The 19,078-nt window shown below is 46.4% G+C and overlaps 1 protein-coding gene across 3 annotated transcripts; it reads left to right on the forward strand.

The window, feature by feature from the left end:
- On the forward strand, positions 1,655 to 18,419 carry KIR3DL2 (killer cell immunoglobulin like receptor, three Ig domains and long cytoplasmic tail 2). 3 transcript variants are annotated; one of them, NM_006737.4, is made up of 9 exons: positions 1,655 to 1,721; positions 2,432 to 2,467; positions 3,210 to 3,494; positions 4,959 to 5,258; positions 6,831 to 7,124; positions 10,291 to 10,341; positions 17,017 to 17,121; positions 17,582 to 17,634; positions 17,734 to 18,419. In NM_006737.4, exons 1-9 carry the CDS (start codon positions 1,688 to 1,690, stop codon positions 17,941 to 17,943), a joined length of 1,368 nt encoding a protein of 455 aa, NP_006728.2. In that variant the 5' UTR covers positions 1,655 to 1,687; the 3' UTR covers positions 17,944 to 18,419. The 3 variants fall into 3 exon arrangements, with proteins under 3 accessions (NP_006728.2, NP_001229796.1, XP_047294751.1); NM_001242867.2 differs by lacking the exon at positions 10,291 to 10,341; XM_047438795.1 differs by lacking the exons at positions 10,291 to 10,341; positions 17,017 to 17,121.

The following is a 19,078-nucleotide window of genomic DNA, read 5'->3' on the forward strand; positions in this document are numbered from 1 at the left end:
ACTCTCTGCAGACCTGGAAAGCTGGCAGAGTCATTCCACGATGAAACATTTGTAGAGTCATAGGCCTTGTTAGTCTCATCTCCACGGGGACACATATCAACATATCATCTTTCATAATATAAATATACAGTCGGTCCTCCATATCTGTGGGGTTTACAGGTGTTTATTGAACCAACAATAAATCAAAAATATTTTCAGAAAAAAATCCCCGAAGTTTCAAGAAGCAAAAAACTATGTTGAATCGACACAAATTGAGTGGCGTGTAGGCTGTGTCAGGAATTATAAGTAATCAAGGGATGATTTCATGTATACAGGAGGATGTGCATGGGTTCTATGCAATTGCTATGCTATTTTTTTTTTTTTTTTGAGACAGTCTCACTCTCTCACCCAGGCTGGAGTGCAGTGGCATGATCTCAGCTCACTGCAACCTCCGCCTCCCAGGTTCAAGCGATTGTCTTCCCTCAGCCTCCCCAGTAGCCTCCCCTAGGATTACAGGCACGTGCCACCATGCACAGATAAATTTTTTTGTGTGTGTATTTTTAGTAGAGACGGGGTTTCAGAATGTTGGACCAGCTGGTCTTGAACTCCTGACCTCGTGATCTACCCAACTCAGCCTCCCAAAGTGCTGGGATTACAGGCGTGAGCCACGGTGCCCAGCTTCGCTATGCCATTTCATGCAAGGGGCTTGAGCATCTGCAGATTTTGGTATCTGAATGGGGATCCTGGAACCAATCACCCAGGAATAGTGAAGGACCACAGTATATAATTTTTATTTGTCAATCTTAAAAATAAAGCATAAAAAGTTTACAACAACAAGATAAAAAATAAGAAGTGTCTTTATAGTGTGAGGATAAGTTTAGATTTATTTTTTCCTACGTGTAACCCTATGGTCCTGTGTTATTTGTTGAGAAAATATTCTATTCCACCTTAAACTACATGGCAGCCTTTGTCAACTATAAAGGGACTGTGTATCCACAGATGTATTTTAGACACAGTTTTCTGCCCAGTGGTTCTCTGTATCCCCTCTCATGAGGATGCTGCATTTCATATAAACTTATAGAACCCCTTAAAATTTGGTAACCTGAGTTCTCTGATTTGTTATTATAGGTTATTTAGTTTGCTTTTTTTTTTCTTTCTTGAGACAGACTCTTCCTCTGTCACCCAAGCTGGAGTTCAGTGGCTTGAGCTCAGCTCACTGCAGCCTCCGCCTCCCAGGTTCAAGCAATTCTCGTGCCTCAGGTTTAGTACTAGAAACTCATCAGGAAAATTAGAATGGCTTTTTGTCACAATTACTCTGATAATGTTAATAATACCTCTTAGATATTTTGCACATTACACATGAAGAAAAGTTTGAATCTCAGATAAAAACAAAAATACATCAAAAGTCTTTAATGTAAGCACAGAATTCAATCACCTCATGTGTGAGAGGTTGGATCTGAGACGTCTTTTGAGTCTGGTCATAGTGAAGGATGCAAGGTGGCAATTGTAGTCACAACAATTTCCAGGAAGCCATGTTCCGCTCTTGAGCGAGCACCCACTGGGCCTCATGCAAGGTAGAAAGAGCCTGCGTACGTCACCCTCCCATGATGTGGTCAACATGTAAACTGCATGGGCAGGGCGCCAAATAACATCCTGTGCGCTGCTGAGCTGAGCTGGGGCGCGGCCTCCTGTCTGCACCGGCAGCACCATGTCGCTCACGGTCGTCAGCATGGCGTGCGTTGGTGAGTCCTGGAAGGGAATAGAGGGAGGGAGAGTGGGGATGGAGATCTCGGCCTAGAGGTAAAGATATGGGCCTGGAGTGGAGATATGGGCCTGGAGTGGAGATATGGGCCTGGGTGTGGAGATATGGGCCTGGAGGTGTAAATATGGGCCTGGAGTGGAGATATGGGCCTGGAGGGGAGATATGGGCCTGGGTGTGGAGATATGGGCCTGGAGTGGAGATACGGGCCTGGAGTGGAGATATGGGCCTGGAGTGGAGATATGGGCCTGCAGGTGGAGATCTGGGCCTGGAGTGGAGATATGGGCCTGGAGTGGAGATATGGGTCTGATGTGGAGATATGGGCCTGGAGTGGAGATATGGGCCTGGAGTGGAGATATGGGCCTAGAGGGGAGATCTGGGCCTGGAGTGGAGATATGGGTCTGATGTGGAGATATGGGCCTGGAGTGGAGATATGGGCCTGGAGTGGAGATAGGGGCCTGGAGTGGAGATATGGGCCTGGAGTGGAGATCTGGGCCAGGAAGTGTTGATCTGGGCCTGGAGCCTGGGTCTCTCCACAGCTGAGAGCCCTGTTCTTGGCAGCAGGTAGCAGGGAGGCTAAGTTTACCTTCAGCCCAGCAAGGGCCTGGCTGCCAAGACACACAGTGCAGTGGGGGCAGCAGGGTGCCCTGGTTTGCCTGCAGTTGGATCGTCTATCATGATCTTTCTTTCCAGGGTTCTTCTTGCTGCAGGGGGCCTGGCCACTCATGGGTGAGTCCGTCCCCAAACCTTAGGGTGTCATCTCCCCACATAAGAGGATTTTTCTGAAACAGGAGGGAAGTCCTGTCGGGGAGTCTCTCATAAACTAGGAAGAGGGGACCCTTGGATACTCGGCCCACATTTCTGACCTCGCCCTCCCTGGCCTTTCTTTCCCTTTCCTGAGTCAAGCTCTGTGAAGACTGGGGTGAGACTGGGGTGCTCCAAGCTGGGGTGTGCAGGGAGGAAGTGGTGTCAGCAGCAGAGAAAGAGAGGGAAGCAGTGCTAGGAACAGCAGGTCCTCTGAGGACAAAGGTATAACTGACACCCTCCAGCGTTTCCGTGACGGTAGGGGCTGCAGTGTGGCTGCGGTCTTTCTACCAGAAGAGGGGGGAAACCACAGCCATGGCCCTGACATTCCAAATCCTCTGAGGGGGCTCAGTTCATGAATTGGCTGATATTCCATTCACATAGGACATGCCCTCCATGCCGTGTCTACTTTGTGTTGTTTTATGTGAGTAATTTTGCAGTATTAAAATCTAGTAAGAGTCACTTATTCAGCACTTGCTCAAAGTTCTCAGCTGACACTTGTTGTAGGGAGACGCCATGTCTATGTGGGGTGGGTCCTTCCTGTAGCCCTGGGCACCCAGGTGTGGTAGGAGCCTTAGAAAGCGGAAATGGGAGAATCTTCTGAGCACAGGGAGGGAGGGGTGGCTCCACATCCTCCTCTCTAAGGCAGTGCCTCCTTCTCCCCCAGGTGGTCAGGACAAACCCTTCCTGTCTGCCCGGCCCAGCACTGTGGTGCCTCGAGGAGGACACGTGGCTCTTCAGTGTCACTATCGTCGTGGGTTTAACAATTTCATGCTGTACAAAGAAGACAGAAGCCACGTTCCCATCTTCCACGGCAGAATATTCCAGGAGAGCTTCATCATGGGCCCTGTGACCCCAGCACATGCAGGGACCTACAGATGTCGGGGTTCACGCCCACACTCCCTCACTGGGTGGTCGGCACCCAGCAACCCCCTGGTGATCATGGTCACAGGTCAGAGGCTTTCTGTCTGGGCTTCTCACTGTCCCACCTCCTGAATCCCAGAGCTTCTGGTGGGGGTGTCCATCAGGGTCCCATCACCCAGGCCCCAACTGTATTTGGGGTCAAGGGAGATTGAATACAGGGGAAATGGGTGCTGTGGTGGGAAGAATAACTGTCGCCAATGATGGCTACATTGTAAACCCTGGAGCCTGTGACTATTTATGTTATAGGGCAGGGGACTGAAGGGGAAGGTGGAGCTCAGGTTGTTGATGAGTTGACCTTGAGATGGGGAGACAGCCTGGACTGTCCTGCTGGGCTCAGTGTAATCACAAGGGTCCGCGTGAGAGGTGGAGGAAGAGGGGAGTGGGGATTAGAGCAGTGTAGTGGGAGGGAGACGCTATCAGCCACTGTGGGCTTTGAAGGTGGAGGAAGGCCACTAGTCACAGAATGCAGGTGGCCTCTAAGGGCTGGAGAAGTCAAGAGAACTGATTTGCTGAGTCTCCAGAGGGAACGCAGCCCTGCAGATGCCTTGATTTCAGCACAGGGAGAACTGGATCCAATTTCTGTCCCCAGAAGTGGAAGGGGTCAGTGTGTTCTCTCCTGCTGCCATGTTTGTGATAATTTTCTGCAGCAGCAACAGGAAACCGACACAGGAACCCAGGTCAAGGACAAGCTAGGAAACCAAACAAGGATAGCCAGGTGTGGTGGTGGGCACGAGTAATCCAACGACTGGGGAGGCTGAGGCAAGATAATCACTTGAACCGGGGAGGCAGAGGTTGCAGTGAGCCAAGACAACACCACTGCACTCCAGCCTGGGTGAAAAAGTGACTGTCTCAAAAATAAATTAATTAATCAATTAATTAAAGAAACCAAACAAGGAGAAGGTTGGCTACCGTGGGATCAGCAAGGGTGGGATGCTGATGCCACCACCAGGCTCCATCCACATAGGAAGGGGTTGATGCTCCTGGAACCAGCACCAGGGACCACCCTATGGAAGCTGGGGCCATGGAGAAGGCACAGACATGGCAGGAGAGGCTCCCAATCCCCATCAGGAACAGGGTGTGTGGACACTGATGTCTGCCTTACTGATGAGTTGATACCTCTGCCAGAGACTCCAATTTGTTCAAAAGAGATTGATTCAGGCTGCTGAGAGCCTGGACATGCAGCCTGTCCTCTTCCACCCCCACATAGACAGCAGGAAAGAGACTAGTGGGAAAGAGATACAACAGCCCAAGAGATGAGGCTCTCTTCACAGTGGGAAGGGAGTCAGGGGCTACTGGAGACAGAGGGACAGAGAAGAGGGAGGAAGACAAATGGAGGGACCTGCACCAGGGGATATGGGCACAGAAAAGACACGGAGACACAGAGAGGGAGGAGAGAGACAGACCTCTGGGAGGGGAACCCTCACTCATTCCAGGTGCCATGGATGGGATGATAAAGAGAGATGCCTTCTAAACTCACAACTTCTCTTTCTAGGAAACCACAGAAAACCTTCCCTCCTGGCCCACCCAGGGCCCCTGCTGAAATCAGGAGAGACAGTCATCCTGCAATGTTGGTCAGATGTCATGTTTGAGCACTTCTTTCTGCACAGAGAGGGGATCTCTGAGGACCCCTCACGCCTCGTTGGACAGATCCATGATGGGGTCTCCAAGGCCAACTTCTCCATCGGTCCCTTGATGCCTGTCCTTGCAGGAACCTACAGATGTTATGGTTCTGTTCCTCACTCCCCCTATCAGTTGTCAGCTCCCAGTGACCCCCTGGACATCGTGATCACAGGTGAGAGTGTCCAGACATTCTTCTCATTGTCATTGGGACACAGAGTGAATGATCCAGGACTTGGAACCCCCAGGTGGTCATGAGGAAGATAAGCGTGGGATTCTTATGGAGAGAGACTGACTCGGTGAGGTCTGTACCAACAGAGACAGGGAAACAGGAGACATAAGTACAGACCAGGTGTCATAACAGAGGACAGACACAGGGGCCATACGGGGAAGTAGAAAAGAGAGAAAGAGGTAAAGGAGACACTCAGACAGACAGACATGTGCCAGAGAGAAGTGTCCTTCCATGCTGACTTTGCTCAGAGACCTGGCACAGGTTAGAAGTTTCATTTCTGTTTTGTCTCCACAAAGTGCTTCTACGAGGAGAACCCAAGGACACCCATATTTCTGACCTGAGTTGGGCCCTGTGGCCTCAGGCCTTGTGGCATCTACAGATGCCATGTTTATTCTGACACCTCTGCCTTCCATGCAGTGGAGCCATAATTATCCCAGGATATCATGGCCCCAGAACACCAACCCCTAAATACTGTGTGTACTTGGTGTCCCCAGACTAGATTCTGAGGCTCATATTCCAAATAATCCTACATATAATAGGATCACTGAGAGACACAGAGATAAATCAGGGACTTCAAAAAGCAAAGGCATAAACACACAGAGAATGAGCCAGAGGAAGGGGATTGAGAGACTCACAGACACACAAAAAGAAAGAAAAGAGGGCAGAGGAGTGGAGAGAATGCTGGAAGGGAGGAGAGAAAAGCCCCAAAATCAGAACCCTGAGGGAGGGGCACAAAGACAGAGAAAGATAAAGATGTGGGGATGGATTGCAGAGATTCCAAATAGAACTAGAGAGACTGAGAGGCAGAGAAAGACAAGGAGATGGAGAGAGACAGATGATAGATGGATAGATAGATATAGATAGATGATAAATAGGTAGATGATAGATAATGGATAGGTTATAGATACATAGATGATGATTGATAGATGATACATAGAGATGATGATGATGATGATGAAGATAGATAGAAGACACATATATAAATATATAGATACATAGATGATACATAGAGACTGACAGGCAGACAGAGAGGTAATAGAGAGAGAGAGAGATGATACATAGATACAGATAATACATAGATGATTGATGGATAGACAGATAGACAATTGATAGATAAATGATACATAGATATAGATGACAGATAATTTGTAGATAGACACAAAATAGATAGATAGATAATAGATAGAAATATGCAGAAAGTTATGAACAAGACAGAAAGTGAGAGACTCAGAATTATAGAAAAAGGAAGATCAAGTCAACCAATCCAAGGAGAGTCAGAGAGAATAAAACAATCCAAAAAGGGAAAGCATACCCAGGGGTGGGGAAGTGAGGTCAGAGACCTAGAGAGACAGAGAAGGCGGAAGGAGGAAATAGACATGAAGAGAGTTGGGGTGGAGGGTGAGAGAGAGAGAGAGCATTAGGTCATAGAGCAGGGGAGTGAGTTCTCAGCTCAGGTATGAGGGGAGCTGTGACAAGGAAGAACCTCCCTGAGGAAACTGCCTCTTCTCCTTCCAGGTCTATATGAGAAACCTTCTCTCTCAGCCCAGCCGGGCCCCACGGTTCAGGCAGGAGAGAACGTGACCTTGTCCTGTAGCTCCTGGAGCTCCTATGACATCTACCATCTGTCCAGGGAAGGGGAGGCCCATGAACGTAGGCTCCGTGCAGTGCCCAAGGTCAACAGAACATTCCAGGCAGACTTTCCTCTGGGCCCTGCCACCCACGGAGGGACCTACAGATGCTTCGGCTCTTTCCGTGCCCTGCCCTGCGTGTGGTCAAACTCAAGTGACCCACTGCTTGTTTCTGTCACAGGTGAGGAAAACCCGTGTCTGTCCCATGTCTTATGATCCTAGAGCCATAGCTGAGGAGCTTCCTGCCGATGATGGGGAGAAGCATGGACAGATGCAGAGAGAACACGAAGACTGGGTGTGAGGGGGGGGTCAGGGTGCAGGATGGCAGACAGGGCACCTCCAAACCCTCTTGCATGGCCTGCATGGAGGCCCATGGTCAGGGCTCCAGGCACCCAGGCAGATGGAGAAAGCGGTCAGGACAGACCCAGAGAAGGGGAGACTGGGCTCAGTTTGGGGAGATCAGAGGTTCCCTCAGCCCCTCAACCTTACCCATTTCCCAGAAGCCCATCCTGGCCTCTCACCCACACAGAGAGATGTCATCACCAGCAACCCCTACACTCTTTTCTTTTCATTTTCAAAAATATTTATTGAGGTTAAATGTAACTATATAATTTACCAACTTTACCATTTTTAAAAGTAAAATCTAGTGGTCATAAATACCTTTATATGCTGGGTGTGGTGGTTCACGGTTGTAATCTTGGCGCTTTGAGAGGCCAAGAAAGGTGGATCATTTAAGATCAGGGACTCGAGATCAGCCTGGCCAACATGCGGGAAATTCATCTTTACTAAACAGACAAGAAAAATTAGCCAAGCATGCCGGCATGCACCTGTAGTCCTAGCTACTTGGGAGGCTGAGGCAGGAGAAGCACTTAAAGCCAGGAGGCAGAGGTTGCACTGAGCCGAGATCATGCCACTGCACTGCAGCCTGGGAGACAGAGAGAGACTCTGTTTCTAAATAAATAAATACATCTATATTCTTTTTTTTGTTACCTTCCACCCTTCCCTTCCTGGCCTCTGGTATCCACCATTCTATTCTCTACCTTCATGAGATCCACCTTTTATCTCCTGCATGTGGTGAGAAATGGGAATCTTTGTAATGACCTCCAGTTCCATCCATGTGGCTGCAAATGACAGGATGTTATTGTTTCTATGGATGAGTAGTCTCCACCGTGTGTGTGTACTACAGTTCTCTATCCATTCACCCACTGATAGGCAGGTAGGTTGACTCCACATCTTGGCTACTGTGAACAGTGCTGGAACAGTCATATGAGTGCAGATATCACTTCGATACACTGATGTCCTTTCCTTTGGATATAAACCCAGTAGTGAAATTGCTGGACACTATGAAAGTTCTCTTTTTTTTTTTTTCTTTTTTGAGAAAGAGTTTCCCTCCTTAGTCCAAGCTGGAGTCAAAGTGGTGCGATCTTGGCTCATTGCAACCTCTGCTTCCTAGGTTCAAACGATTCTCCTGACTCAGCCTCCCTAATAGCTGTGATTACAGGTGCACGCCACCATGCCTGACTAATTCTTGTATTTTTTAGCACAGACGGGATATCCCAATTTTGGGCAGGCTGCTCTCAAACTCCTGACCTCAAGTGAGGTGCCTGCCTCGGTTTCCCAAAGTGCTGAAGTTACAGGCATAAGCCACTATGCCCAGCCTCCTTTTAGTTTTTTAAAGATTTTCCATACTTTTCTCCATAATAGTTGTACTAATTTACATTCCTACCAACAGGGTACCAGGGTTCTCCTTTCTCTACCATCTTGCCAGCATTTGTTTTGCCTGTCTTGCAGATAAAAGCCATTTTACTTTACTTTATTTATTTATTTATTTATGTTGAGATGGAGTTTCACTCATAGTCGCCCAGGCTGGAGTGCAAGGGTGTGATCTCGGCTCACTGCAACCTCTGCCTCCCGCGTTCAACTGATTCTCCTGCCTCAGCCTCCAAAGTAGCTGGGATTACAGGCATGTGCCACCACGCCTAGCTAATTTTTGTATGTTTAGTAGAGAGGGAGTTTCTCCATGTTGGTCAGGCTGGTCTCCCGACCTCAGGTGATCCGCCCACCTCCGCCTCCCAAAGTGCTGGAATTACAGGCGTGAGCCACCGGCCTAAAAGGCATTTTAATGGGATGAGATGAAAACTCATCGCGATTGTAATTTACATTTCTGTGATGATGAGTGATGCTGAGCACTTTTTCATATACGTGATCGCCATTTCTATGTTTTGTTTGTGGAGAAATGTCTCCTCATGTCTTTTGCTCGTTTTTTAATTAAATTGTTTTATTGAGTTGTTTGAGCTTCTTATATTTCCAGTTATTAATCCCATCTCAGATGAATAGTTTGCAAATATTTGCTCCTATTTTGTGGGTTGTCTCTTCACTTTGTTGGTTTATCTTTGGTGGTGCAGAAGTTGCTTGGTTTGATGTAATCCTAATGGTCTATTTTTTGCTTTGATTACTTGTGTTTTGAAGGTTTTAAACAAAATGTCTTTCATCAGACAAATGTCTTCCCCATTATTTTCTTCTACATGTTTCATAGGTTCAGGCCTTAGACTCATGTTTTTAATCCATTTTCATTTGATTTTTGTGTAAGGTGACAGGTATAGATGCAGTTTTATTCCTCTGCATGTAGATATCCAGTTTTCCCCACACCATTTATTGAAGACTGTCCTTTCCTGATTGTAAGTTCTCGGCACCTTTGTCAAAGTCCATTAAATGGGCTGGGTATGGTGGCTCACACCTGCAATTCCAGCACTTTGGGAGGCCGAGGCGGGTGGATCACCTAAAGCCAGGAGTTCAAGACCAGGCTGGCCAACAGAGTGAAACCTCGTCTCTACTAAAAATACAAAAATTAGCTGAGCATGGTGATCAGTGCCTGTAATACCACTACTCAGGAGTTTGAAGCAAGAGAATTTCTTGAATCCAGGAAGTGGAGGTTGCATTGAGCTGAGATTGCACCTCTACACTCCAGCCTGCATGACAGAGCAAGATTCTATCACACACACACAAAAGAAAGCCATTGGATGTAAATGCATGGATTATATCTGTGTTCTCCATTCTGTTCCATTTTTTATGTGCCTTTCTTTATGCCAATGTCATGCTGTTTTGCTTACTACAGCTCTGTAACATATTTCTAAGTCAGGTAGTGTGATGCTCCTGTTTTCTCTTTATACCTTCAAGTCTCAAGACAGTGGGCATCGCACACAAAAATTATGGAGAAAAGGATCCCAAGACTCCCAGGGTCCAACATTAGATAACAGAGTGTTGGCCATGAACCAACCTCAAAGATTTCCATTGAGTAGAGGACAAGCACCCTCATTTCCTCACATCTCTCCTGTCCCGTGTTCTAGGAAACCCTTCAAGTAGTTGGCCTTCACCCACAGAACCAAGCTCCAAATCTGGTGAGTAAAGGACCCCTCTTATCTCTGCTTTTGGAAACCTGGGGAGGTGGAAGCCTTGGATGCAAGTGTTGGCTCAAACCTCCCAGCTCTGTGAATGAGGGCCTGTCTTCCACCATCTCTGAACTCCAGACACTCCAACAGTGAAAGGGATCTAGGGCCACCAAAGGGCTCAGCGAAGTCTCTTTACCTTTAATTTCCTGCAGGTGAGACCTCCTACAAGCTAGAAGAATAATTGCCAATCTGACATCCTTCTCAGGAAAAATGCAGTGTTTTTTCTGCCTGCATTCCTAACTGGAGGATAAATTCCCGGGGGCTTGAGAGAGGGAAGGGAAGGGAACATCTGATGAGGGTGGGTGTTTTAGAGAAGTTCCACTTGCCAAGGAATGAATTACTGTTGGTCATCAGGCAACCCTGGCTGACTCAGCAGAGCAAGAGCCTTGCCGTAACAGAGAACAGAGCTCATGCACGCACACTTCGACTCAGTGACTCATTCAGCCACAGCCCCATGCTCAGGCTGTGCAGTGTGGAAGCTTTTCCTATTGTTGCCATAACAAATTTCCACAAGATTCGTGTGTGAAAACAAAACGGTTATTTAATTATCTTACAGTGCTGTAGCTCAAAGCATGACGTGCATGTCACTGGGCTAAAATCAAGGTGACAGCAAGGCTGCCTTCCCTCTGAGGGTTCCAGGCAAGAATCTGCTTCTCACTTTTCTCAGCTTCTAGAGGCTCCCATGTTCCTTGGCTCCTGGTACCCTTCCTCCTTCCTCAAAGCCCACAAAGACTGGTCACATCTCACATGGCATCACTCAGACCCTTCTTCCTTACCACACCTCTTTCTCTGAATGCTGCTCTCCCTTCTTGCCCTTCTTTTGAAAACTTGGGGATTCTATTGGGTTCACCAAGATGAAAATCCATCATAATCTCCCGGAAATCATCCAGGATACCCTCCTTTTAAGTTCAGCTGACTAGCAACCATAATTCCATCTGCAATCTTCATTCCTCCTTTCATGTAAAATAACATATTCACAAGCTATGGAGGCTAGGACATGGACATTTTTGGGGTGGGACAACATTCTCCTGCCTTCCACAAACAGTGAACAAGATGCATTTGGCCTCTGTTCTTGGGACACTGATCTTGCAGATGGTTAAATGGGAGGGCAGAAAATGTAGGCACAAGGGGACCAATAAATGAATGATCTATTGAGAAGCATCTGTGCATGAAATCTATTTATTTATGTATTTACCTACTTGTTTATTGAGACGGAGCCTTGCTCTGTCGTCCAGGCTAGAGTGCGGTGGCATGATCTCGGCTCACTGCAACCTCCACCTCCTGGGCTGAACTGATCTCCTCCCTCAGCCTCTCCAGTAGCTGGGATTACAGACCACAACCACCACGCCCGGCTAACTCTTTTTGCATATTTTCTGTAGAGAGGATGTTTCACCATGTTGGCCAGGCTGGTCTCAAATTCCCAACCTCAGGTGATCCAATAGCCTCTGCCTCCCAACACGCTGGGATAAGAGGCATGAGCCACGGGGCCAAGCCAAATTTTCAAATCAATAATAGATAATGCTGAGTGTATTATTTCAGGTGACAGAGAAGTTCTCACTAATCAGATATTTGTGACATTAATGAAAAACACGGATTGAACCCCTGAAAGATTGGCGGAAGGATTTTGCACACACAGCTGTCAGCCGTGAAGGCACAAAGGTGAAAACAATCTGATGTGGAAGGAAGAGGCTCTGACTCAAATGCTGGGAATGAGGTGGGGAGAATGACAAGATGACTGTAGAGAGACGGAGAGCACACTGGGTACACAGGAAACTAAGGAGCAACAAGGAGCGTGTGTTTGACACTCACAGCCATTGGATTCACCTCGAGGTAACCAGGAATCCCTACATGATTAATATGACTGACATGAAAATAAGGGAGGCTCAGTTGCATAACTGGAATCTAGGAGACCGTGGAAAAGGCAATTGCCGCCCCACTGGTGAAATGTGGTGCTGATTTAGACACTAAATGAATGAAGTAGATGGATATAAGATATGTTTGTGAGGTAGAATCATTGGCTGGAAAGGCTTGCTGGGTTTAATTTTTCCTGGTAGTTTAATCCTCGCTTCACTAACTTATTTCTGAGATTTATTTCTCCTGCATCTAAATCAATACCTGGCAGAGGAGGGAGAGCTAGATGAGGGGTGGTGCAAATGAAGGGACCTAGTATAGCATAATATACAAGGCTGTGAACGGTGGCTCACGCCTGTAACCCAGCACTTCAGGAGGCCAACGCGGGTGGATCACATGAAGTCAGGAGTTCGAGACCAGCCTGGCCAACATGGAGAAACCCTATCTCTACTAAAAATACAAAAATTAAACAGGCATGATGGTGGTGCATGACTGTAATCCCAGCTACTCTGGAGGAGGAAGCAGGAGAATGACTTCAGCCCTGGAGGCAGAGGTTGCAGTGAGTGGAGATCGCATCACTGCACACCAGCCTGGGCTACACAGGGATACTCTGTCTCAAAAAATAAAAATAAAAAATACATAAATATAATAATATACACAAATGATGCAGGCACCTGAATTCCAATCATCATTTTTCTATTCCTCTATAATTACTTCTTTGATCCTTTATCTTATCCATTAGAAAATCAGCCTAAAACCTCTTCCATATTTGGCTTTCTGTGAACATGAGATCATATGGAAAATATGAAAGCCCCCTGAACCCACCAGCACAGGCCCTGAAATAGGGAAAGTGCTCTGTTCATCACAAGAAACTTTCCCCCTCACCCAAATCCCCCACCTCACCCCTACTTCCAATCACCTGTGGAGATACAGATAGATCATGGGGAGGTAAACGCTAATACTCCTTGGAGTGAGTTCAGATCTTGGAATCAGAGATCAGCACCAGCACTAGCTCCTGCTCCCCTTTCCTACTAATTCACAGGAGGACAGGTGGTTTTGAAGCAATAGATGGTGGAGGGGGTGGTCTTTCCCCCAGCCTCTCAGGTGGAACAGCAGCCTAACATGTGTCTCGCGAGATCACAAAGAGTAGCACGTTTCACATGGGCTTCATCATTATTTCCTGGCTGTTTGACATAAGAGAATTCTACTTTGCTTTTTTGATCTTGATTTCACTTTTGTGTCCTTTTCTTGGAGAATGTAATTTGAGTCAAGAGGGTTGTGGATGTAGAAACTGTAAAGCACATTCACTGTGTATCAATCCCAGTCCAGTCTTTCCAGAGAAGACTCTAAACACCTGCTGTACTGCACCTGGGCCTATGCCAATTTCTATCACTCACCGTCACTCCAGGGAGACAGAACACACAGAGAATACGTTACATAGGCAGGTTCATTACTAACAGATAAGCAGCGAGTGACAACAGAAGCCTACATTTCAACGTGAGCCAGTCCCTCAAGGCTCAGAAAAGCTGCTCGGGACATATGGAGTCACCTCATTTGCAGTGTATCTGGGGGAAGCCAGAAAATAGCCCAGCCTGGGTTTTGTACCCTGAAGCCACAGGAAGCACTCAGCTAAAGCACTGCATGACGTCCTCCTCCAGGAAGAACAGGAAGACAGCACAGGCTGTTCTGAGACGTTCCTCCTGATCTCAGGACGTTGCTGTCTTAGTCCATTTTTGTTGCTATAAAAGAACACTTGAGCCTGGGTTACTTCTTTTTTTTTTTTTTTTTTTTTTGTATAGTGCTTCTGATGAGCTTTTTTTTAAAATTTTTATTATTATTATACTTTAAGTTTTAGGGTACATGTGCACAATGTGCAGGTTAGTTACATATGTATACATGTGCCATGCTGGTGTGCTGCACCCATCAACTCGTCATTTAGCATTAGGTATATCTCCTAATGCTATCCCTCCCCCCTCCCCCCACCCCACAACAGTCCCCAGAGTGTGATGTTCCCCTTCCTGTGTCCATGTGTTCTCATTGTTCAATTCCCACCTATAAGTGAGAACATGCGGTGTTTGGATTTTTGTCCTTGTGATAGTCTACTGAGAATGATGATTTCCAATTTCATCCATGTCCCTGCAAAGGACATGAACTCATCATTTTTTATGGCTGCATAGTATTCCATGGTGTATATGTGCCACATTTTCTTCATCCAGTCTATCATTGTTGGACATTTGGGTTGGTTCCAAGTCTTTGCTATTGTGAATAGTGCCACAATAAACATACGTGTCCATGTGTCTTTATAGCAGCATGATTTATAGTCCTTTGGGTTTATACCCAGTAATGGGATGGCTGGGTCAAATGGTATTTCAAGCTCTAGATCCCTGAGGAATCGCCACACTGACTTCCACAATGGTTGAACTAGTTTACAGTCCCACCAACAGTGTAAAAGTGTTCCTATTTCTCCACATCCTCTCCAGCACCTGTTGTTTCCCGACTTTTTAATGATCGCCATTCTAACTGGTGTGAGATGGTATCTCATTGTGGTTTTGATTTGCATTTCTCTGATGGCCAGTCATGGTGAGCATTTTTTCATGTGTTTTTTGGCTGCATAAATGTCTTCTTTTGAGAAGTGTCTGTTCATGTCCTTTGCCCACTTTTTGATAGGATTGTTTGTTTTTTTCTTGTAAATTTGTTTGAGTTCATTGTAGATTCTGGATATTAGCCCTTTGTCAGATGAGTAGGTTGCGAAAATTTTCTCCCATTTTGTAGGTTGTCTGTTCACTCTGATGGTAGTTTCTTTTGCTGTGCAGAAGCTCTTTAGTTTAATTAGATCCCGTTTGTCAATTTTGGCTTTTGTTGCCGTTGCTTTTGGTGTTTTAGACATGAAGTCCTTGTCCATGCCTATGTCCTGAATGGTAATGCCTAGGTTTTCTTCTAGGGTTTTTATGGTTTTAGGTCTAACGTTTAAGTCTTTAATCCATCTCAAATTAATTTTTGTATAAGGTGTAAGGAAGGGATCCAGTTTCAGCTTTCTACCTATGGCTAGCCAGTTTTCCCAGCACCATTTATTAAATAGGGAATCCTTTCCCCATTGCTTGTTTTTCTCAGGTTTGTCAAAGATCACATAGTTGTAGATATGTGGCATTATTTCTGAGGGCTCTATTCTGTTCCATTGATCTATATCTCTGTTTTGGTACCAGTACCATGCTGTTTTGGTTACTGTAGCCTTGTAGTATAGTTTGAAGTCAGGCAGCATGATGCCTCCAGCTTTGTTCTTTTGGCTTAGGATTGACTTGGCAATGCAGGCTCTTTTTTGATTCCATATGAACTTTAAGGTAGTTTTTTCCAATTCTGTGAAGAAAGTCATTGGTAGCTTGATGGGGATGGCATTGAATCTATAAATTACCTTGGGCAGTATGGCCATTTTCACGATCTTGATTCTTCCTACCCATGAGCATGGAATGTTCTTCCATTTGTTTGTATCCTCTTTTATTTCATTGAGCAGTGGTTTGTAGTTCTCCTTGAAGAGGTCCTTCATATCCCTTGTAAGTTGGATTCCTAGGTATTTTATTCTCTTTGAAGCAATTGTGAATGGGAGTTCACTCATGATTTGGCTCTCTGTTTGTCTGTTATTGGTGTATAAGAATGCTTGTGATTTTTGTACATTGATTCTGTATCCTGAGACTTTGTAGAAGCTGCTTATCAGCTTAAGGAGATTTTGGGCTGAGACAATGGGGTTTTCTATATATACAATCATGTCATCTGCAAACAGGGACAATTTGACTTCCTCTTTTCCTAATTGAATACCCTTTATTTCCTTCTCCTGCCTAATTGCCCTGGCCAGAACTTCCAACACTATGTTGAATAGGAGTGGTGAAAGAGGGCATCCCTGTCTTGTGCCAGTTTTCAAAGGGAATGCTTCCAGTTTTTGCCCATTCAGTATGATACTGGCTGTGGGTTTGTTATAGATGGCTCTTATTATTTTGAGATACGTCCCATCAATGCCTAATTTATTGAGAGTTTTTAGCATGAAGCGTTGTTGAATTTTGTCAAAGGCCTTTTCTGCATCTATTGAGATAGTCGTCCGGTTTTTGTCTTTGGTTCTGTTTATATGATGGATTACATTTATTGATTTGCATATATTGAACCAGCCTTGCATCCCAGAGCCTGGGCAACTTCTAGAGAAAACAGATTTGTTTGCCTCACAGTTCTGCAGGCTGTACTGGAAGCATGGCACCAGCATCTGTTTCCTGTGACGGCCTCAGGCTGCTCCCACTCTGGCAGAAGGGAAGGAGGGTCTGTCTGTGCAGAGACCACAGAGATCACATGGCAAGAGAGGGAGCAAGGGGGAGGGCGAGCGATGGAGCTTCCAAGCTCTTTTTAACAACCAGCCCTCCGGGAACTAATAGAGGGGGAACTTGCTAACCCCATCATGTGGGGCAGCATTAATCTATTCATGATGGATCCACCTCCATGACTCAAACACCTTCCCATAGGCCCAAACTTCCACACTGGGGGTTAAATTTCAATATTTCAGTGTGAGGTTTCAAAGGGTCAAACATCTAAACTAAAGCAGCTGTATCCTCAGCATGTTCTATGGTTTCTATGAGAGCTGTAACTGAGAAAGCAGGAGAAAGCTGGGTCTCCCGCCATCAGGCTGCTTGTCCTAAGGAGATGTTCCATGTGGTTACCTGTCAATCAAGAAATGAGACAATCCATAAAGAGGAACTGCTATGATTAGCTTCTTATTGGATTCCCATCTTCCTCCAGGTATCTGCAGACACCTGCATGTTCTGATTGGGACCTCAGTGGTCATCTTCCTCTTCATCCTCCTCCTCTTCTTTCTCCTTTATCGCTGGTGCTCCAACAAAAAGAGTAAGTCTCACGAAGCAGAGGCCAGAGAGCTCAGGGCCATGTGGGGAAGCAGGATGGGAGCACGCGGGTGTGTGTTCCTCACTGGCAGGATGGTCCCTGGCCCAAGGGAGGAGCCACAGAGGCAGGGCTTTCTAGAGAGAGCACCAGACAACCTGCCCCTGCCTTCAGCTCACAGACCATTGCCTGGTTCTGAACTGTATCCTCACATCCCCTGCAGCTACTGACATCCAGAAGCTTCCATGACAGGCAGAAAGTGGGAGACAGAATCAATGGGATGCCAATTGAGAGCACTTCATGGGATGGGGTCTTGAACTCAGAGAGATAGAATGTCTGAGTCTGGATGTTGGCAGCTGAAGAGCCTCAGGCACCTACAGCCTCCCCCTGTGGGTTGGTGTCTGCCCATGAAATGAGGACCCAGAAGGGCCCTCCAAGCGGTTTTGATGACTTCCGTCTCCTACAGATGCTGCTGTAATGGACCAAGAGCCTGCGGGGGACAGAACAGTGAATAGGCAGGTAGGTCCTCCTCGGCCCAGCCTCACGGATACAGTCTTATCCCTAATAGTCCTGAAAAATGTGAGCACCCTCCCTCACTCAGCATTTCCCTCTCTCCAGGACTCTGATGAACAAGACCCTCAGGAGGTGACGTACGCACAGTTGGATCACTGCGTTTTCATACAGAGAAAAATCAGTCGCCCTTCTCAGAGGCCCAAGACACCCCTAACAGATACCAGCGTGTACACGGAACTTCCAAATGCTGAGCCCAGATCCAAAGTTGTCTCCTGCCCACGAGCACCACAGTCAGGTCTTGAGGGGGTTTTCTAGGGAGACAACAGCCCTGTCTCAAAACCAGGTTGCCAGATCCAATGAACCAGCAGCTGGAATCTGAAGGCATCAGTCTGCATCTTAGGGGATCGCTCTTCCTCACACCACGAATCTGAACATGCCTCTCTCTTGCTTACAAATGCCTAAGGTCGCCACTGCCTGCTGCAGAGAAAACACACTCCTTTGCTTAGCCCACAAGTATCTATTTCACTTGACCCCTGCCCACCTCTCCAACCTAACTGGCTTACTTCCTAGTCCTACTTGAGGCTGCAATCACACTGAGGAACTCACAATTCCAAACATACAAGAGGCTCCCTCTTAACACGGCACTTACACACTTGCTGTTCCACCTTCCCTCATGCTGTTCCACCTCCCCTCAGACTATCTTTCAGCCTTCTGTCATCAGTAAAATTTATAAATTTTTTTTATAACTTCAGTGTAGCTCTCTCCTCTTCAAATAAACATGTCTGCCCTCATGGTTTCGATAATGTGACTCTTTATTCGCCAAAAGTTTCCAGTGTTATCATTACTATGTCCATATAACCTGATATGTTCTCTACTGGGTTCTCAGCCCTGGACTCTGAGCTTCTGGAAGCAGGGTGGAGCCTCATTTGTCTCTGGGACTCCAATTTCCATCCAAAGATGCAGCACATAGGAGGTTCCAAGGATCGTGAATCACATGAACAAGTGATATTCTTACTCTCTGCAGACCTGGAAAGCTGGCAGAGTCATTCCAAGATGAAACATTTGTAGAGTCATAGGCCTTGTTAGTCTCATCTCCACAGGGACACATGTCAACACATCATCTTTCATACTATAAATATACAGTCGCTCCTCCATATCTGTGGGGTTTACAGGTGTTTATTGAACCAAATATAAATCAAAAATATTCAGAGAAAAAATCCACAAAGTTCCAAAAAGCAAAAATACTATATTGTGTGGACACAAGTGAGGTGGTGTGTAGGCTGTATCAGGAATTATAAGTAATCTAGAGATGATTTCATGTATACAGGAGGATGTGCATGGGTTATATGCAAACGCTGTGCCATTTCATGCAACAGGCTTGAGCATCTGCAGATTTTGGTGTCTGGTAGGGAGGGGGGTTTCCTGGAACCAATCACCCATGAATAGTGAA

This window comes from Homo sapiens, chromosome 19, assembly GCF_000001405.40.
Source record: "Homo sapiens chromosome 19, GRCh38.p14 Primary Assembly".
Lineage (NCBI taxonomy): Eukaryota > Metazoa > Chordata > Mammalia > Primates > Hominidae > Homo > Homo sapiens.